Below are 22,715 nucleotides of genomic sequence, written 5' to 3'. Positions count from 1 at the left end.
CTCTTTTCTGTGTTTTCCTATGCTCCTTCCTCCTCAGTGAAGTTGACCTTTTAAATATTTTTTTATCACACTCTAGCCTGGGTGTGACAAAGGGGAGAGACACACACACAGAGGAGAGAGAGAGAAAGATCTTAATTGTGATATTAATTACCTTTGTTAACTCTCATTTATTTATTGGTGTTTAATATTGTTATCATTTCTTTGTTATTGTTAAATATTTACTTTTTTTGTTTATTTATTTTGAGAGACATTGGCAGTGAGCATTGGATTTAGCTGCCAGCTTGCCATGTCTAAGGTTGACCAGATGGTTCTCACCCTGACATGTATTAGGTCAACCAGATGGCTCTTCCCTTACCATGTCGAAGATTCACCACATGGCTCTCACTGGTAGCAGTACTGTTCAGTTCCAGCAGAAGGATGTGATCGTGATTCACTGCAGCCTCAATCTCCCTGGTCACACCTGCGTGTTCTTCTCATCTCAGCCTCCCAAGTACCCGGGACTACTCAGAACTTCTTTTTCTGTTTTTGTTTGTTTGTTTGTTTTTTTCTCAACCCACTTTCAGTTTATTTCCACAGTACTTATAGTGACTTGCTATTGTTTTTCTTCTTTGTTCTTTTCTCTATTTTCCTACACTTCTTCCTGTAAGCTGAAGTTAACCTATTTTCTTTTCTTTCTTTCTTTTTTTTTTTTTGTCACACTCCAGCCTGGGTGTCACAAATGGAGAGAAAGAGAGAGGAGAAAATCTTCATTGTGATATTTATTGTACTCTACCTTTTTCACTCCTCCTTATTTATTTTCTTTAATATTGTTTGTTATTATTTCTTTGTTATTGTTAAATATTTACTGTTGGGTTTTTTGTTTATTTATTTTGAGACAGCTGTTGGCTGTAAGCATTGGACTTAGCCACCAGATTGCTATGTCTATGGTCGACCAGATGGCTCTTGCCTTGCCATGTCTAAGGTCCTCCAGATGGCTCACGTTTTGCTGTCTAAGGTTAACCATATGGCTCTTGTCAGCAGCAGTCCCATTCAGCTCCAGCAGAGGGATGCAATCCTGATTCACTGCAGCCTTGATCTTTCCAGTCTTATCCAGGTAGTCACACAACAAAACGTCAACCTCGGCATGCAGGAAGGAGTGTAGGAAAATACTGGGAGAAAAGAACAAAGAAGAAAAACAACAGCAAATCACTCTATGTACTGTGGAAAGAAACTGAAAGTGAGGTTAGAAAAAAACAGGGGAAGAAGGTTCGAGTAGCCCCAGATATTCAAGAGGCAGAGATGGGTAGACCACCTGGGCAAGACCAGGGAGGTCAAGGGCCACAGTGAATCATGATCGTATCTTCCTGCTGGACCGGAACGGTACTGCCACTGGCAAGAGTCATATGGATGACCTTAGACATGGCAAGGCCAGAGCCATCTGGTCGACCTTGGACATGAAAAGCTGGCAGCTAAGTCCAATGCTTGCAACCGACATCTGTCTCAAAATATATTTAAAAACCTACAGTAAATATATAACGATAACAAAAAATAACAAACCATATTAAAGACCAATAAATAAATAAATGGGAGTGAACAAAGGTAAAAGGTAATTAGTACCACAATTAAGATTTATTTTCTCTCTCTCACACACACACACTCTCTCTCTCTGTCTCTTTGTCACACCCAGTCTAGAGTGTGACCAAAAAAAAAAAAAAAAAACAAAGATTAGCTTCAGCATACAGGAAGGAGCATAGGAGAATAGAGAGACAAAAGAACAAAGAAGATAAACAACAACAAGTCACTCTAAGTATTGTGGAAACAAACTGGAAGTGTGTTTAGGAAAAAAAAAAAAAAAACAGAGGAAGAAGGTCCGAGTAGTCCCAGGTACTCGGTAGGCTGAGATGGGAAGATCACCTGGGTGGGACCAGAGAGATGAGGCCACAGTGAATTACGATGGCATCCCTCTGCTGGACTTGAATGGTACTACCTCCAGCAAGAGCCATCCAGTCAACCTTAGACATGGCATAGCGAGAGTCATCTGGTCAGCCTTAAAGATGGTAAGCTGGAAGCTAAGTCCAAGCCTTGAGGCTGATATCAGTCTCAAAATAAATTTAAAAACCCAACAGTAAATATTTAACAATAATAAAGAAAGAATAACAAACAATATTACAGACTAACCCCACTTTCAATTTGTTCCACAGTACTTAGAGTGACTTGCTGTTGTTTTTCTTGTTTGTTCTTTTCTTTATTTTCCTATGGTCTTTCATGCACATTGCAGTTGAATTTTTAGGTTATTTTTCATTTGTCACACTTCAGCCTGGATGTGACAAAAGGAGAGAGACAGAGAGAGAAGATCTTAATTGTGATATTAATTACCTTTTTTTTCGCTCCCACTTATTTACTTTTGGTCCTTAATATTGTTTGTTATTTCTTTGTTATTGTTAATTTTTTTTTACTGTTGGTATTTTTGTTTATTAATTTTGAGACCGATGCCACCCATGACCCTTGGACTTAGCTGCCAGCTTGCCATGTCTAAGTTTCACTAGATGGCTCTCACCTGTGGCAGTACCGTTCAGGTCCAGCAGAGGGATGCAACTGTGATCCACTGCAGCCTTCATCTCCCCAGTCTCACCCGGGTGGTCTTCCCATCTTGGCCTCCTTGAGTACCTGGGACTACTGAGACCTTCTTCCTATTTTTTTTCTAACCCCACTTTCAGTTTTTTTCCAGAGTACTTAGAATGACTTGCTGTCCTTTTGCTTTTTTTTTTCTTTTCTCTCTCTCTTTTCCTACGTAGCTTTCTACACGCTTAAGTTTACCTTTTAGGGTGGGAGGAGCCAAGATGGCCGAATAGGAAGAGCTCCGGTCTACAGCTCCCAGCGTGAGCGACGCAGAAGACGGGTGATTTCTGCATTTCCATCTGAGGTACCAGGTTCATCTCACTAGGGAGTGCCAGACAGTGGGCACAGGACAGTGGGTGCAGTGCACCATGCGTGAGCCAAAGCAGGGCGAGGCATTGCCTCACTCAGGAAGCACAAGGGGTCAGGGAGTTCCCTTTCCTGGTCAAGGAAAAGGGTGACAGACGGCACCTGGAAAATCGAGTCACTCCCACCCTAATACTGCACTTTTCCAATGGGCTTAGGAAACGGCGCACCAGGAGATTATATCCCGCACCTGGCTCGGAGGGTCCTACGCCCATGGAGGCTCGCTGATTGCTAGCACAGCAGTCTGAGATCAAACTGCAAGGTGGCAGCGAGGCTGGGGGAGGGGCACCCACCATTGCCCAGGCTCGCTTAGGTAAACAAAGCAGCTGGGAAGCTCGAACTAGGTGGAGCCCACCACATCTCAAGGAGGTCTGCCTGCCTCTGTAGGCTTCACCTCTGGGGGCAGGGCACAGACAAACCAAAAGACAGCAGTAACCTCTGCAGACTTAAATATCCCTGTCTGACAGCTTTGAAGAGAGCAGTGGTTCTCCCAGCACACAGCTGGAGATCTGAGAATGGGCAGACTGCCTCCTCAAGTGGGTCCCTGACCCCTGACCCCCGAGCAGCCTAACTGGGAGGCACCCCCCACTAGGGGCAGACTGACACATCACACGGCCGGGTACTCCTCTGAGACAAAACTTCCAGAGGAATGATCAGACAGCAGCATTCGCGGTTCACAAAAATCCACAGTTCTGCAGACACCGCTGCTGATACCCAGGCAAACAGGGTCTGGAGTGGACCTCTAGCAAACTCCAACAGACCTGCAGCTGAGGGTCCTGTCTGTTAAAAGGAAAACTAACAAACAGAAAGGACATCCACACCAAAAACCCATCTGTACATCACCATCATCAAAGACCAAAAGTAGATAAAACCACAAAGATGGGGAAAAAACAGAGCAGAAAAACTGGAAACTCTAAAAAGCAGAGCACCTCTCCTCCTCCAAAGGAAGCAGTTCCTCACCAGCAATGGAACAAAGCTGGACAGAGAATGACTTTGACAAGTTGAGAGAAGAAGGCTTCAGACAATCAAACCACTCCGAGCTACAGGAGGAAATTCAAACCAAAGGCAAAGAAGTTGAAAACTTTGAAAAAAATTTAGACGAATGTATAACTAGAATAACCAATACAGAGAAGTGCTTAAAGGAGCTGATGGAGCTGAAAGCCAAGGCTCGAGAACTACGTGAAGAATGCAGAAGCCTCAGGAACCGATGCATTCAACTGGAAGAAAGGGTATCAGTGATGGAAGATGAAATGAATGAAATGAAGCAAGAAGGGAAGTTTAGAGAAAGAAGAATAAAAAGAAATGAACAAAGCCTCCAAGAAACATGGGACTATGTGAAAAGACCAAATCTGCATCTGATTGGTGTACCTAAAAGTGATGGGGAGAATGGAACCAAGTTGGAAGACACCCTGCAGGATATTATCCAGGAGAACTTCCCCAATCTAGCAAGGCAGGCCAACATTCAGATTCAGGAAATACAGAGGATGCCACAAAGATACTCCTTGAGAAGAGCAACTCTAAGACACATAACTGTCAGATTCACCAAAGTTGAAATGAAGGAAAAAATGTTAAGGGCAGCCAGAGAGAGAGGTCGGGTTACCCACAAAGGGAAGCCCACCAGACTAACAGCGGATCTCTCAGCAGAAACTCTACAACGCAGAAGAGAGTGGGGGCCAATATTCAACATTCTTAAAGAAAAGAATTTTCAACCCAGAATTTCATATCCAGCCAAACTAAGCTTCACAAGTGAAGGAGAAATAAAACACTTTACAGACAAGCAAATGCTGAGAGATTTTGTCACCACCAGGCCTGCCCTAAAAGAGCTCCTGAAGGAAGCACTAAACATGGAAAGGAACAACCAGTACCAGCCACTGCAAAATCATGCCAAAATGTAAAGACCATCAAGACTAGGAAGAAACTACATCAACTAACAAGCAAAATAAACAGCTAACATCATAATGACAGGATCAAATTCACACATAACAATATTAACTTTAAATGTAAATGGACTAAGTGCTCCAATTAAAAGACACAGACTGGCAAATTGGATAAAGAGTCAAGACTCATTAGTGTGCTGCATACAGGAGACCCATCTCACGTGCAGAGACACACATAGACTCAAAATAAAAGGATGGAGGAAGATCTACCAAGCAAATGGAAAACAAAAAAAGGCAGGGGTTGCAATCCTAGTCTCTGATAAGACAGACTTTAAACCAACAAAGATCAAAAGAGACAAAGAAGGCCATTACATAATGGTAAAGGGATCAATTCAACAAGAAGAGTGAACTATCCTAAATATATATGCACCCAATACAGGAGCACCCAGATTCATAAAGCAAGTCCTGAGTGACCTACAAAGAGACTTAGACTCCCACACATTAATAATGGGAGACTTTAACACCCCACTGTCAACATTAGACAGATCAATGAGACAGAAAGTTAACAAGGATACCCAGGAATTGAACTCAGCTCTGCACCAAGCAGACCTAATAGACATCCTCAGGACTCTCCACCCCAAATCAATAGAATATACATTTTTTTCAGCACCACACTACACCTATTCCAAAATTGACCACATAGTTGGAAGTAAAGCTCTCCTCAGCAAATGTAAAAGAACAGAAATTAAAACAAACTGTCTCTCAGACCACAGTGCAATCAAACTAGAACTCAGGATTAAGAAACTCACTCAAAACCACTCAAGTACATGGAAACTGAACAACCTGCTCCTGAATGACTACTGGGTACATAACGAAATGAAGGCAGAAATAAAGATGTTCTTTGAAACCAACGAGAACAAAGACACAACATACCAGAATCTCTGGGACACATTCAAAGCAGTGTGTAGAGGGAAATTTATAGCACTAAATGCCCACAAGAGAAAGCAGGAAAGATCCAAAATTGACACCCTAACATCACAATTAAAACAACTAAAGAAGCAAGAGCAAACACATTCAAAAGCTAGCAGAAGGCAAGAAATAACTAAAATCAGAGCAGAACTGAAGGAAATAGAGACACAGAAAACCCTTCAAAAAATTAATGAATCCAGGAGCTGGATTTTTGAAAGGATCAACAAAATTGATAGACCTCTAGCAAGACTAATAAAGAAAAAAAGAGAGAAGAATCAAATAGACGCAATAAAAAATGATAAAGGGGATATCACCACCGATCCCACAGAAATACAAACTACCATCAGAGAATACTACAAACACCTCTACGCAAATAAACTAGAAAATCTAGAAGAAATGGATAAATTCCTCGACACATACACTCTCCCAAGACTAAACCAGGAAGAAGCTGAATCTCTGAATAGACCAATAACAGGATCTCAAATTGTGGCAATAATCAATAGCTTACCAACCAAAAAGAGTCCAGGACCAGATGGATTCACAGCTGAATTCTACCACAGACACAAGGAGGAACTGGTACCATTCCTTCTGAAACTATTCCAATCAATAGAAAAAGAGGGAATCCTCCCTAACTCATTTTATGAGGCCAGCATCATCCTGATACCAAAGCCGGGCAGAGACACAACTAAAAAAGAGAATTTTAGACCAATATCCTTGATGAACACTGATGCAAAAATCCTCAATAAAATACTGGCAAACCCAATCCAGCAGCACATCAAAAAGCTTATCCACCATGATCAAGTGGGCTTCATCCCTGGGATGCAAGGCTGGTTCAATATATGCAAATCAATAAATGTAATCCAGCACATAAACAGAACCAAAGACAAAAACCACATGATTATCTCAATAGATGCAGAAAAGGCCTTTGACAAAATTCAACAACCCTTCATGCTAAAAACTCTCAATAAATTAGGTATTGATGGGACATATCTCAAAATAATAACAGCTATCTATGACAAACCCACAGCCAAAATCATACTGAATGGGCAAAAACTGGAAGCATTCCCTTTGAAAACTGGCACAAGACAGGGATACCCTCTCTCACCACTACTATTCAACATAGTGTTGGAAGTTCTGGCCAGGGCAATTAGGCAGGAGAAGGAAATAAAGGGTATTCAATTAGGAAAAGAGGAAGTCAAATTGTCCCTGTTTGCAGATGACATGATTCTATATCTAGAAAACCCCATTGTCTCAGCCCAAAATCTCCTTAAGCTGATAAGCAACTTCAGCAAAGTCTCAGGATACAAAATCAATGTACAAAAATCACAAGCATTCTTATACACCAATAACAGACAAACAGAGAGCCAAATCATGAGTGAACTCCCATTCACAATTGCTTCAAAGAGAATAAAATACTTAGGAATCCAACTTACAAGGGACGTGAAGGACCTCTTCAAGGAGAACTACAAACCACTGCTCAATGAAATAAAAGAGGATACAAAGAAATGGAAGAACATTCCATGCTCATGGGTAGGAAGAATCAATATTGTGAAAATGGCCATGCTGCCCAAGGTAATTTATAGATTCAATGCCATCCCCATCAAGCTACCAATGACTTTCTTCACAGAATTGGAAAAAACCACTTTAAAGTTCATATGGAACCAAAAAAGAGACCACATCACCAAGTCAATCCTAAGCCAAAAGAACAAAGCTGGAGGCATCACACTACCTGACTTCAAACTATACTACAAGGCTACAGTAACCAAAACAGCATGGTATTGGTACCAAAACAGAGATATAGATCAATGGAACAGAACAGAGCCCTCAGAAATAATGCCGCTTATCTACAACTATCTGATCTTTGACAAACCTGAGAAAAACAAGCAATGGGGAAAGGATTCCCTATTTAGTAAATGGTGCTGGGAAAACTGGCTAGCCATATGTAGAAAGCTGAAACTGGATCCCTTCCTTACACCTTATACAAAAATTAATTCAAGATGGATTAAAGACTTAAACGTTAGACCTAAAACCATAAAAGCCCTAGAAGAAAACCTAGGCATTACCATTCAGGACATAGGCATGGGCAAGGACTTCATGTCTAAAACACCGAAAGTAATGGCAACAAAAGCCAAAATTGACAAATGGGATCTAATTAAACTAAAGAGCTTCTGTACAGCAAAAGAAACTACCATCAGAGTGAACAGGCAACCTACAAAATGGGAGAAAATTTTCGCAACCTACTCATCTGACAAAGGGCTAATATCCAGAATCTACAATGAACTCAAACAAATTTACAAGAAAAAAACAACCCCATCAAAAAGTGGGCAAAGGATATGAACAGACACTTCTCAAAAGAAGACATTTATGCAGCCAAAAGACACATGAAAAAATGCTCATCATCACTGGCAATCAGAGAAATGCAAATCAAAACCACAATGAGATACCATCTCACACCAGTTAGAATGGCAATCATTAAAAAGTCAGGAAACAACAGGTGCTGGAGAGGATGTGGAGAAATAGGAACACTTTTACACTGTTGGTGGGACTGTAAACTAGTTCAACCATTGTGGAAGTCAGTGTGGCGATTCCTCAGGGATCTAGAACTAGAATTACCATTTGACCCAGCCATCCCATTACTGGGTATATACCCAAAGGATTATAAATCATGCTGCTATAAAGACACATGCATACATATATTTATTGCAGCACTATTCACAATAGCTAAGACTTGGAACCAACCCAAATGTCCAACAATGATAGACTGGATTAAGAAAATGTGGCACATATACACCATGGAATACTATGCAGCCATAAAAAATGATGAATTCATGTCCTTTGTAGGGACATGGATGAAATTGGAAATCATTATTCTCAGTAAACTATCACAAGGACAAAAAACCAAACACCGCATGTTCTCACTCATAGATGGGAATTGAATAATGAGAACACATGGACACAGGAAGGGGAACATCACACTCTGGGCACTGTTGTGGGGTGGCAGGAGGGGGAAAGGATAGCATTAGGAGATACACCTAATGCTAAATGACGAGTTAATGGGTGCAGCACACCAGCATGGCACATGTATACATATGTAACTAACCTGCACATTGTGCACAGGTACCCTAAAACTTAAAGTATAATAATAATAAAAATTTTTTAAAAAGTTTACCTTTTAGATTTTTTGGTCACACTCCAGCTGGGTGTGACAAATGAAGAGAGAGAAAGAGAGAAAAAGAGTGAAGAAGATCTTAATTGTAATATTAATTACTTTTTACCTTTGTTCACTTCCACTTATTTATTTACTGGTGTTTAATGTTTGTTGTTATTATTTCTTTGATATTGTTAAATATTTACTGTTGGTTTGTTTATATATTTTGTGATGGACATTGACCATGAGCGTTGGGCTTAGCTGCCAGCTTGCCATGTCTGAAGTCGACCAGATGGCCTCGCTGGTGGCCATACCGTTTCAGGTCCAGCAGAGGGATGTGATTATGATCCACCGTGGCCTCGATCTTGGTCTCACAAGGGTAGTCTTCCCATCTCAGCCTCTCAAGTACCTGGGACTACTAGGACCTACTTCCTCTGTTTTGGTTCTAACCCCACTTTCAGTTTCTTCCACAGTACTTAGAGTGACTTGCTGTTGTGTTAAATCTTTGTTCTTCTCACTCTATTTTTCTATGTTCCTTTCTGCATGCTGAAGTTGACCTCTTAGATTTTTTTTTGACACACTGCAGCATGAGTGTGACAATCAGAGAGAGAGAAAAATAAAGAAGATCTTAATTGTGATATTAATTACCTTTTACCCTTTTTCACTCTCATTTATTTATTGGTCTTTAAAATTATTTGTTATTATTTCTTTTTTTTTTTTAGACGGAGTCTCACTCTGTCACCCAGGCTGGAGGGCAGTGGCTCGATCTTGGCTCACTGCAAGCTCTGCCTCCCAGGTTCATGCCATTCTCCTGCCTTAGCCTCCCAAGTAGCTGGGACTACAGGTGCCCGCCACCATGCCCAGCTAATTTTTTGTATTTTTAGTAGAGACGGGGTTTCACCATGTTAGCCAGGATGGTCTGAATCTCCTGACCTCGTGATCCGCCCGTCTCGGCCTCCCAAAGTGCTGGGATTACAGGCATGAGCCACCACGCCCAGCCTATTATTTCTTAGTTATTGTTAAATATCTACTATTGGGTTTTTTTGTATATTTATTTTGTAACAGATGTTGGCTGCGAGCGTTGGATTAGTTGCCAGCTTGCCATGTCTAAGGTCAAACAGATGGCTCTCGCTGGTGATAAGGTTGACCAGATGGCTCTCACTGGCAGTAGTATTGTTCAGGCCCAGCAGAGGGATGCCATCATGATTCAATGCAGCAACGATCTTCCCGATGTCACCCGGAGGACTTCCCATCTCAGCCTCCCATTTACCTTGGACTACTCAGGCCATCTTCCTTCTTTTTTTTTTCTACTCCCACTTTCATTTTGTTTCCACGGTATTTAGAGGGGGTTGCTGTGGTCTTTCTTCTTTGTTCTTTGCTCCATTTCTTTTTTCTTTTTTGTTACCCTCCTTCCTGAACGCTGACGTGGATGTTTAAATTTGATTTTTGGTAGGTCTTCTCACTGTCACACCCTGGCTGGAGTGTAGGTGCTGGATCAGCAGTGAGCCGTTACCATGCCCCTGCCCTCCAGCATGTGTGTGAGAGTGTGACACATGGAGATCGATGGAGAGAGGGACAGAAAGACAGAGACACAAACAGACAGTGGCAGAGAGACAGAAACAGAGAGAGACAGGGAGGCAGACAACAATTAGTTGTTATATTAATTACATTTTACCTTTGTTCACTCCCACTTATTTATTTATTGGTCTTATCATTGTTTGTTATTTCTTTGTTATTGTTAAATATTTATGTGCCAGGCGAGGTGGTTCACACCTGTAATCCCAGCACTTTGGGAGGCCGAGGCGGGCAAACCAGCTGAGGTCGGGAGTTTCAGACTAGCTTGACCAACACGAAGAAACATCAACTCTACTAAAACTACAAAATTAGCCAGGCGTGGTGGCGCATGCCTGTAATCCCAGCTACTCCGGAGGCTGAGGCAGGACAATCACTTGAACCTGGGAGGCAGAGGTTGCGGTGAGCCAAGATCACGCCACTGTACTCCAGCCTGGGCAACAAGAGCGAAACTCCAGCTCAAAAAAAAAAAATATTGTTTGTTTATTTGTTTATACATTTTAGACAGATGTCAGCCACGAGTGTTGGACTTGGCCGCCAGCTTGCCATGTTTAAGGTTGACCATTTGGCTCTTGCTGGCAGTGGTACCATTGAGGTCCAGAAGAGAGATGTGATGACGATTCACTGCAGCCTGGATCTCCCCAGTCTCACCCGGGTGGTCTTCCCATCTTGGCCTCCCGAGTACCTGGGACTACTCAGACATTGTTCCTCTGTTTTATTTCTAACCCCACTTTCAGTTTGCTTCCACAGTACTTAGAGAGAGTTGCTATAGTTGTTCTTCTTTGTTCTTTGCTCTCATTCTCTCTCTCTCTCTTATTTTATTTTTTTTTACGCTCTTTCCTGTATGCTGAAGTTGATGTTTTATATATACACATATATTTTTTTAGCCAGGTCTTCTCAGTCTGTCACACCCTGGCTGGAGTGCAGGTACATGATCAGCAGTGAGCTGTGACCACACACGTTCACTCCAGCCTGGGTTTGACAGTGTGACACACGGAGATCAGGGAAGAGAGATTCAGAAAGACAGAGAGACAGAGACCCAGACTAAAACAGAAAGACAGAGAGAGGCAGAGAAATAGAGACAGAGAGAGATACAGTTAATTGTGATTTTAATTACCTTTTATTTTTGTTCACTCCCACTTATTTATTTATTGGTAATATTATTGTCCATTATCATTTCTTTCTTATTATTTACTGTCGGTTATTTATTAATTTTGAGGCAGATGTTGGCTGCGAGCATTGGACTTGGCTGCCAGCTTGCCACTTCTAAGGTCTACCAGATAGCTCTCACCAGTAGTAGTGTTCAGGTAAGGCAGAGGGATGCAATTGTGATTCACTGCGATATTAATCTCCCTGGTCTTTCACAGGTGGTCGTCCCATCCATCTTGGCCTCCAGAGTACCTGAAAATACTTGGACTTTCCTCCTCTGTTCTTTTTTTTTTCCAGCTCCACTTTTAGTTTTCTTCCGCAGTACTTACAGTGAGTTGCTGTGGTTTTTTTTTTTTTCCTTTCTTCTTTGCTCTTTCTCTCTCTTTTATTTTCTTATGCTCCTTTCTGCATGCTGAAATTGACGTGATATATATATATATATATATATATATATATATATATATAAAATTATTATTTTTAGCTAGGTCTTCCTACTGTATCACATTCTGGCTGGAGTGCAGGTGAGTGATCAGCAATGAGCTGTGACCACACACGTGCACTCCAGCCTGGGTGTGAAAGTGTGACACATGGAGATTGAGGAAGAGAGAGACAGAGAAAGAGAGACAACAATTAATTGTGACATTAATTACCTTTTATCTGTGTTCCCTCTCACTTATTTGTCTTGTTATTATTTGTTATTACTTATTATTGTTAAATATTTACTGTTAGTTGTTAGTTTATTTATGTTAAGACAGACTTCAGCCATGAGCATTGGACTTGGCCACCAGCTTGCCATGTCTAAGGTAGACCAGAAAGCGGTCACCAGTGGCAGTACTCTTCAGGTCCAGGAGAAGGATGCGATTGTGATTCCCTGCAGCCTCGATCTCCTCAGTCTTGCCCAGGTGGTCTTTCCATTCGGCCTCCCGAGTACGTGAAACTACTCAAGCTTCTTCCTCTGTTTTTTTTTCTAGCCCCACTTTTAGTTGGCTTCAACAGCACTTAGAGGGAGTTGCTGTGGTTTTTCTTCTGTGTTCTTTGCTCTCTCTCTCTTTTTAAAATCTTTTATGCTCCTTCCTGGATGCTAAAGTTGATAAGATCCACCCACCTCAGCCTCCCAAAGTGCTGGGATTACAGGCATGAGGCACCGCGCCTGGCTTTAATTTTGTATTTTTAGTAGAGACAGGGGTTTCTCCATGTTGGTCAGACTGGTCTCGAACTCCTGACCTCAGGTGATCCACTCGCCTCCGCCTCCCAAAGAAAAACTGGTCTAAGATCTAGCTATTTTCTTAAATTTTAGGTTTGATTAGCTCACTTTTGGCATGAGTGACTCATTTTGTTTTGTTTTGGTCTGTTTGGGAAGAGTGCACATGCTCAGTCCAGATGATGGCCATAAATAATTTTGTTTAAAAAATTCACCCCAGGCCGGGCTCAGTGGCTCAGGTCTGTAATCTCAGCACTTTGGGAGGCTGAGGCTGGCGGATCAAAAGGTCAGGAGATCCAGACCATCCTGGCCAATATGGTGAAACCCCGTCTCTAGTAAAAATACAAAAATTAGCCGGGCGTGGTGGTGCACACCTGTAGTCCCAGCTACTCGGGAGGCTGAGGCAGAAGAATCACTTGAACCCGTGAGGCAGAGTTTGCATTGAGCCGAGATTGCACCACTGCACTCCAGCCTGGGCAACAGAACAAGATTCCATCTCAAAAAAAAAAAAAAATTACCCTATTTGTAAGCTCTCACATAGGTCACGGTGTGACCAAAACTCAGGGCCTTAGTGCCACTCTGTTTCCATTATCTTTTTTTCTGTCTTTTTTTTTTTTTTAAGATGAAATCTCGCTTTGTTGTCCAGGCTGGAGTGCAGTGGCACTATCTCAGTTCACTGCTACCTCCACCTCCTGGGTTCAAGCAATTCTCCCACCTCAGCCTTCCGAGTAGCTGGGACTACAGGCCCATGCCACCACGGCTGGCTAATTTTTTGTATTTTTAGTACAGACAGGGTTTCACCGTGTTACCCAGGATGGTCTCCATCTCCTGACCTCATGATCCACCCACCTCGGCCTCCCAAAGTGCTGGGATTACAGGCCTGAGCCACCACAACAGGCCAATTTTTGTATTTTTAGAAGAGATGGGGTTTCACTATGTTGCCCAGGCTTGTCTCAAACTCCTGACCTCATGATCCACCCACTTCAGTCTCCCAAAGTGCTGAGGTTACAGGCACCGCACCTGTCCTATTTTGGGTTTTTGTCCTTATCATGTCATTCATAGGTTATGGTGTCTTCGTAGTCACATGTGTCTTTGAGTTTCTGCCATTCTGGTTTAAAAGAGATCATTTGACATTTTGGAGATGACTGCATGCAAACATTTATAACTTTTGAGAGAATACGGTGAAGTAGGGAGACACTACTATTTCAACTATCAGGAGAATGATACCAAGAGTTTGAAGCATGCTTTTTAGCCAGGGTCCCCACGAAACACCAACTAAAATTAAATAGGCCGAATAGTTAGCTAGATAAGTGGTCTACTCATTTCAACCAAGCACACTGTTCATTAATCCGCTGCAACTGCATCTCCGTGGATGCAGAGTAGGCTCAGGGAGCCTACACTACGTATTTCTCCATGTGCAACTACAAGTGTTAGCAACTTCATAGGTACTTCTCTGTTCATCCAATAAGTAATTAAAAGAAATAATATTATTGCTGGGCGCAGTGGCTCACGCTTGTAATCCCAGCACTTTGGGAGGCTGAGACAGGTGGATCACGAGGTCAGGAGATCGAGACCGTCCTGGCTAACATGGTGAAACCCCATCTCTAGTAAAAATGCTAAAAATTAGCCAGGCATGGTGGTGGGCGCCTGTAGTCCCAGCTACTCAGGAGGCTGAGGCAGGAGAATGGCGTGAACCTGGGAGGCGGAGCTTGCAGTGAGCCGAGATCGAGCCACTGCACTCCAGCCTGGGCGACAGAGCGAGAGTCCATCTCAAAAAAAAAAAAAAAGAAAGAATGAAATAATATTATTTAGCACAACTTTAGTAAGTAAATTTAAAATCTATTGTGTAATCATAGCCTTTACAGTATAATCTTCTATAGAGCCCTATTGGGGGGATACATTTCTAACCATTGCCTCATTTACTTTATACCATGGAAAGAAAGACCTAACAAATCATGGCCATTCAGAAGAGTAAGGGCATCCTGGAAATGCTCCTTAACTTATTGTGAAAAAGTTGTCCTTAACTTATGAAGTAGGTTAAGAGCAGTGGACCAATATTCTGTTTCTGATATTGTGAGGGAACAAATATCCCATAAAAATTTCTCACACAGGCTGGCCCTTCATCTTTTACCTATCAAGGTGTAAGTTTTTTCATATATAATGTTGGCTGCAAAATTCTCTACATTTAAGTATACCCCATAAGTGCACACAAGAGACCCCTTCTTTATTTCTATTGTTTGTAGAGCCATAAAAAACTGTGAAATAAGTGTGTCATGATAGCAGAGAAGTATGATCATGTTCTGAGTGTGTCTCACCATGAAACAAGCAAAAAAAAATTACTGCTGTTATTTTGAGATAGTGAGTTAGCATTTTGTGCAAATATGTACTATGTAATTTTTTATTGATATGTAACATGCATAGAGAAATACATGAAGAAATTCTTCATTCAAGTAAAGCTCAGTGAATTGTTATGAAGAAATATACTTGTGTAATCAGATAATAAAACTAGGCCGGGCACAGTGGCTTATGTCTGTAGTTCAGTACATTGGGAAGCCAATGCGGGTGGATTGCTTGAGCTCGGGAGTTCAAGACCAGCCTACCCAACATGGCAAGGCTCTGTCTCTACTTTAAAAAAATACCAAAAAAAAAAAAAAAGAACCAGGCAGGCTGGTGCATGCCGGTGGTCCCAGCTACTGGGGAGGCTGAGGCAGGAGGATCACTTAAGACTGAAAGTTTGAAGCTGCAGTGACCCATCATTCAGCCACTGCACTCCAGCTTGGGTTACAGAGTGAGACCTGTATGTGTAAACACACACACACACACACACACACACACACGTGCACATGGTGGGGGATATGAAAAAGAGAAAGTGTGGCTCCTGCAATTCAGTGAGACCTGGTTCTCCATCTTGGGAACTGCCCATCCACACTGAAACCACAACCTAGCACATGCCAATTCTTACGCTAAACCTGCTAAGATACCACTGTTTACCCTTAAGAAAAAAACTGAAGTATTTCACCTAAAAGAAGGGAAAAAGAAAAGAAGGATTTCACATCCAAAGCCTTTGTTTCCTTTATAAAACAACAGCCCCTTGTCATTTGAGTTGTCCAGAGGTGTCTGACAACACTAACACACTTATGGAATCAGCCAGGAAAAGTGAGCCTCTCAGGTGACAAAGAGGCACAATGGTAACTAAAGACAATCCATTCTCATCTCTACATGATGCCCCCCTCTCATGAAGTGGTGTTAACCATGTGAACCATATTCACCAGAGGAAAGTATGTTCAGGGCAACACAATCATGAGGTTGCAAATCAAACCAGGGGTGGGAAGCACATAGGAGGTTTCCATGGCCAAGACACTGGTGGCTATCCTTGGGTGTCATTTAAAAATTTCAGGTGAAAAATCCTTTTCTTCCAGTTGGCTCAGGAAAACTAACAGACATTACAATTGGAATTCGTTTTACTTTTTAGAATTTCTAAGACATAAAGCATGCTTCAAACACTCCAAAAGACATTCAGCTATACCTGAGGCTGAGGACCTGCCTCCTTCTCCACGTTAGGGCCCTGACAGCAGGCAAAGAGAAGGAGCACAGGGGCCGGGTGTGGTGGCTCACAGCTGTAATCTCAGCATTTTGGGAAGCTGAGGCAGGCGGATCACCTGAAGTCAGGAGTTTGAGATGAGGCTGGTCAACATGGCGAAAACCCTTCTCTACTAAAAATACAAAAATTAGCCATGTGTGGTGGTGTGCACCTGTAATCCCAGCTACTCAGGAGGCTGAGGCAGGAGAATCATTTGAACCGAGGAGGTAGAAGTTGCAGTGAGTCAAAATCGTGCCATTGCACTCCAGCCTGGGCAACAAGAATGAAACTGCCATCTGAAAAACAAAACAAAACAAACAAACAACAACAACAACAACAAAAGAGAGAAGGAGCACAGGCAGGTGGGGACAGAGAGCAGCCCAGGCCTATAGGGATCCCCAACAACCCCCAGAGCCACCCTACAGTGTCTGTAGGAGGGACTGTGTGGCAAAAATCAGGTAGGGAGCTGGGCTTCATGGAGAGGTTACCACCACTTCTGTATCTTTAACTTTTCCCAAGGATTTATGATTCCACTCTGGTTCTCCCCAGGTCCCCAACCCATCCTACCCTCACTCCCACACTGTGTGTTTATGTGGGTCTGGTTAAAATGAGGAGAATAATACTTCCAGATTGTAGCCTTCAAGGTATTCCCATCTGGGGTATGGGGAGTAGGGAGGCAAGTCAGAGTCTGTGGTGGTGCTTACTTCTGGGTCTGAGGGCAGGAAGGCCAGGGCTGGGCACATGGATATCTGGGGAAACACCACTGTTGATTCCTTCTCCCCACCCGGAGCTACAACCAGGCCAGGGCAATCACAATTAATAAAACCACTGCAGCTCACATCCTACACGAAACTAAAGTGTACCCCAACACCCAGTCCTACCACAGATCGAGAACTTCCCATCCCAGAACACAGGAAGCCCTCCGTCTTTTTGACCTAAAGCCTGGACTTTAAGCCAGGTTGGGCTTGGGGGTAGTGGCAGCAAAAGCAGCAGCCACAAGGTCAAACATACCAATGACCTGAGAAATCTCATCTGCACATCATTCACTCAGAACAGACCTGGGGTTGTGAACAAATTAAGAAAAAGGCCAGATCTATACACTCATGGGCATGGACACCTTCCACACTTGCTGGGGAGAATGAGAGGCACCTGTTTCCCAGCTGCAAGCTGATGTCCACATACACCCATTCATGTGTCTTCATTTAGGTCTCTGCATTGTATATTCATTGAACCAATACAAACACATCTTCGGTGGTGGGAGGAGGGGGGACATCATTTAGTGCAACACCACTCCCCACTTGTTATAGGGGGCACTCAGGAGGTATCTGGTCAGCTCCTAATTCCCTAGGACAAAGGTGGCGCCCCATTTCCAGCACTCACATCCAGCAGCGCCATCTCAGATTTTTTTTTTTTTAAACATGAACAGCATGAGGAAGCAGGCATGGTACGACAGGCTCAGGGCCACAGACAGCTGGCTGCTGGAGAAGCAGCACAGGCAGTCACATCTGTGGGTGGGGCCATGATAAGACAAGGCCACCATAGTTCCTACCCCTGACAGCCCTAGCCCAGATAGCATTCAAATCTTCCTTGATGGGCTTCATGGCTGTCACTCACCGGCTCTTTAGCACCGCCTTGTGTTGGTTACTCAGGGCCTGGGAGAGGTAGTGGGGATCGTAGATCCAGGGTGGGAAGCACCTCACACCCAGAGTTCACCTGGCCACAGGCCAGCAAGCAAGCCCAAGCAGCACAGTTCTAGACACTGAGCCTCGGCACCTCCAGCTGCACTTTCTATTTATATATCAGGTTTTTAAATTCCATAAATAAAGAGACACAAAAACAGCCACTTTGATTGAGGAGAAAGTGGGAGCCTAAAGCAGCTGACCCTCAAACATCTCCACCAAGCCCCAGGCCAGGCCAGGCCATCTGAACACTCCAAGGCCACATGATAGTTACAGAGGATGACAGTTCCCACAGGTACTTGTCAAGCACTGTGCTAGCTTCTCAATCACAGTCTCAGAATGCCTCCTTGCCAATACCCTGTGAGGGGAGGCTCTGCCTCACTAGAGCACAGGAGTTTCCTAAGCTCTTCCCAGGAAATGGTTAGCAAAGTGTCGAGCTAGGAGAAAGCCCAGTCAGAACAAGTGACTCCCCAGGGTCTTCCTAGACTCCATCTGCTCCTCCACATGCCGCCCGGAGGTGATACGGGCAGCCTCCTAACCCCCTCCATCCCACTCTCTCCTCAATCAAAGTGGCTGATTTTGTGTTTGCTTGTTTCTTTATGGGATTTTAAAAACCTGATATTTTATTTAGAGTAGTTTCAGGCTTGTATGTGTGTATTTGTATAGACTTTATTAGAAGGAAGAGGGCTTAATATAATAACATTTTTTTTCTTTTTTTTGTTATTGATCATTCTTGGGTGTTTCTCACAGAGGGGGATTTGGCAGGGTCATAGGACAATAGTGGAGGGAAGGTCAGCAGATAAACAAGTGAGCAAAGGTCTCTGGATTTCCTAGGCAGAGGACCCTGGGGCCTTCCACAGTGTTTGTGTCCCTGGGTACTTGAGATTAGGGAATGGTGATGACTCTTAACGAGCATGCTGCCTTCAAGCATCTGTTTAACAAAGCGCATCTTGCACCGCCCTTAATCCATTTAACCCTGAGTGGACACAGCACATGTTTCAGAGAGCACCAGGTTGGGGGTAAGGTCAACAGCATCCCAAGGCAGAAGAATTTTTCTTAGTACAGAACAAAATGGAGTCTCCTATGTGTACTTCTTTCTACACAGACACAGCAACAATCTGATTTCTCTATCTTTTCCCCACATTTCCCCCTTTTCTCCCTTTTCTATTCAACACAACTGCCGTCGTCATCATGGCCCGTTCTCAATGAGCTGTTGGGTACACCTCCCCAGATGGGGTGGCGGCCGGGCAGAGGGGCTCCTCACTTCCCAGAAGGGGTGGCCGGGCAGAGGCGCCCCCCACCTCCTGGACGGGGCGGCGGCCGGGCAGAGGAGCCCCCCACCTCCCTCCCGGACGGGGCGGCTGGCCGGGCAGGGGCTGGCCCCCACCTCCCTCCGGGTCGGGGCGGCTGGCCGGGCGGGGGCTGGCCCCCACCTCCCTCCGGGACGGGGCGGCTGGCCGGGCGGGGGCTGCCCCCCACCTCCTGGACGGGGCAGCTGCCGGGCGGAGACGATCCTCACTTCCCAGATGGGGCGGCTGCCGGGCGGAGGGGCTCCTCACTTCTCAGACGGGGTGGCTGCCAGGCAGAGGGGCTCCTCACTTCTCAGACGGGGCGGCCGGGCAGAAACGCTCCTCACCTCCCAGACGGGGTCGCGGCCGGGCAGAGGCGCTCCTCACATCCCAGACGGGGCGGCGGGGCAGAGGCGCTCCCCACATCTCAGACGATCGGCGCCCGGGAAGAGACGCTCCTCACTTCCTAGATGGGATGGTGCCGGGAAGAGGTGCTCCTCACTTCCCAGACTGGGTAGCCGGGCAGAGGGGCTCCTCACATCCCAGACCATGGGCAGCCAGGCAGAGACGCTCCTCACTTCCCAGACGGGGTGGCGGCCGGGCAGAGGCTGCAATCTCGGCATTTTGGGAGGCCAAGGCAGGCGGCTGGGAGGTGGAGGTTGTAGCCAGCCGAGATCACGCCACTGCACTCCAGCCTGGGCAACATTGAGCACTGAGTGAACGAGACTCCGTCTACAATCCCGGCACCTCGGGAGGCCGAGGCTGGCGGATCACTCCTGATTAGGAGCTGGAGACCAGCCCGGCCAACACAGTGAAACTCCGTCTCCACCAAAAAAATACGAAAACCAGTCAGGTGTGGCAGCGCGCACCTGCAATCGCAGGCAGTCGGCAGGCTGAGGCAGGAGAATCAGGCAGGGAGGTTGCAGTGAGCAGAGATGGCGGCAGTACAGTCCAGCTTCGGCTCGGCATCAGAGGGAGACCGTGGAAAGAGAGGGAGAGGGAGACCGTGGGGAGAGGGATGGGGGGGAGGGGGAGGGGGAGGGGGAGAGGGAGAGGGAGAATAACATTTTTAAAATGTCTCAGTGGGGAATAGACTTCCATGTCAGAAACCATGATGTTGGCCTATTTCTGCTGCCTTTGAGCAAAGTATAAATAGTGTGAGAACTGGCATGTGCTGGGTTGTGGTTTCAGTGTGGGAGAGCAGTTCCTCAAGATGGAAAAACAAATCTCACTGAGCCGTAAGAGCCATGCTCATCTTTTACCACATTCCCAACCAGGGTCTTTCACTTTTCTTCTGTGCTTGAATTTCTTTCAACATACATATTATTTTGATTATATACATAGGGTACATATATATGTGTGTATATATATATGTATGTGTCTCTGTGTGTGTGTGTGTGTGTGTATACACTCTGTCACCCAGGCTGGAGTGTAGTAGCTGAATGATGGGTCACTGGTCACTGCAGCCTCAACCTCCAGTGATGGTTCCACCTCAGCCTTTCAAGTAGCTGGGACTACAGGCATGCAACACCACATGAGGCCAATTTTTAACGTTTTTGTTGAGACTGAATCTCACTACATTGCCCAGACTGGTCTTGAACTCCTAGGTTTAAGCAATCATTCCACCATGGTCTTCCAAAGTGTTTGGATTACAGGTGTTAGCCATCAAACTCTGCCAAAAATATTTTTTAAGGAACTGTTACAACCAAGTTATTAGCTATGGTTGTGCCACTGTACTCCAGCCTAGGTACCAGAGTGAGACCTTGTCTCCAAAAACAAAACAAAACAAAAAAACTTACGACCAAATTAAAATTCTAAGGTTGTGTCATATGTGTCCCCTCCCTGCCCTGTAAGCTATCACTGTTAAATATAATGGTATTGGCCGGGCACGGTGGCAAATGGCTGTAATCCCAACACTTTGGGAGGCCGAGGTGGGCGGATCACCTGAGGTCAGGAGTTCAAGACCAGCCTGACCAACACGGAGAAACCCTATCTCTACTAAAAATACAAAATTAGCCGGGCGTGGTGGCGCATTCTTATAATCCCAGCTACTCGGGAGGCTGGGAGGATTGAGGCAGGACAATCGCTTGAACCCAGGAGGTGGGGGTTGAGGTGAGCTGAGATCATGCCATTGCACTCCAGCCTGGGTAACAAAAGTGAAACACTGTCTCAAAAAAAAAAAAAAAAATATATATATATATATATATATATATATATATATATATATATATACACATACATATACATATAAAATGGGTATTGAGAAAACTGTTATATATTATTAAGAAATTCCTGGCTGGGCGCGGTGGCTCATGCCTGTATTCCCAGTACTTTGGGAGGCCGAGGCAGGTGGATCACCTGAGGTCAGGAGTTTAAGACCAGCCTGGCCAATATGATGAAACCCTGACAGACCCAGGGCATGGTGGTGGGAGCCTGTAATCCCAGCTACTCGGGAGGTTGAGGCAGGAGAATCGCTTGAACCCAGGAGAAGAAGGTTGCAGTGAGCCAAGATCACACGATTGCACTCCCTTCTGGGCAACAAAAGCAAACCTCCATCTCAAAAAAGAAAAAATTCCTATATATTCTCTAAATGAGAATAAGTTATTCTGATGTGACCCAATATTTCCTCACTCTTACCTCCATGGTCTAACCCAGCAAATCAAATCAGGACACCCACAAAGGACAGTTGGCCATTTTCAAATAGAAATAAAATAGAAAATAAAATACCCCATTAGTGACAGTAATCCAGTGATTTTAAAAAAGAGAAGTCAGATTGAGATGCAGTGCAGTCAGGGCACAATTACCCTGGAATACACACTTCACACAGAATGATTGAGAAGTCTTTCTAAAATAAACAAATTTGGGTAACATAATTTTTGCTTAACCATTCTCAGCCACCGCTTTCCCCCACCCCTGCCCCATTCCTAATGGCCATCCCACGATGTGGTCAACAGCGTGGTATAGCATGATGAGAGAGGTACTCAGGGATGGGATGAGGGTCTTTCCTGCATTATCAAAATCATTAAAAAGTTGTTAAAATATGTTCAAATGGGCCAGGCATGGTGGCTCACGCCTGTAATCCCAGCACTTTGGGAGGCTGGGGTGGGAGGATCACCTGAGGTCAGGAGTTCGAGACCAGCCTGCCCAACTTGGCGAAACCCCGTCTGTACTAAAAATACAAAAAGTAGCTGGGTGTGGTGGCATGCGCCTGTAATCCCAGCTACTCGGGAGGCTGACGCAGGAGAATCACTTGAACCTGGGAGGCAGAGGTTGCAGTGAAACAAGATCAC

The 22,715-nt window shown here is 44.4% G+C and overlaps 1 long non-coding RNA gene across 1 annotated transcript in view; it reads right to left on the bottom strand.

Moving 5' to 3' along the window:
* Positions 1-875: 875 nt before the first annotated feature.
* The window catches only part of LOC105372335 (uncharacterized), a 35,695-nt gene continuing 13,855 nt past the window's right edge, over positions 876-22,715 (bottom strand). The window contains exon 3 of the long non-coding RNA XR_007067208.1: positions 876-1,148. This is a non-coding gene — a long non-coding RNA (uncharacterized LOC105372335). The remainder of the gene's footprint in view (positions 1,149-22,715) is intronic.

This window comes from Homo sapiens, chromosome 19, assembly GCF_000001405.40.
Source record: "Homo sapiens chromosome 19, GRCh38.p14 Primary Assembly".
In the NCBI taxonomy this organism is placed as follows: domain Eukaryota; kingdom Metazoa; phylum Chordata; class Mammalia; order Primates; family Hominidae; genus Homo; species Homo sapiens.
The sequence above is the reverse complement of the archived record's forward strand: the minus strand, read 5'-3'. Positions and strand labels throughout refer to the sequence as shown.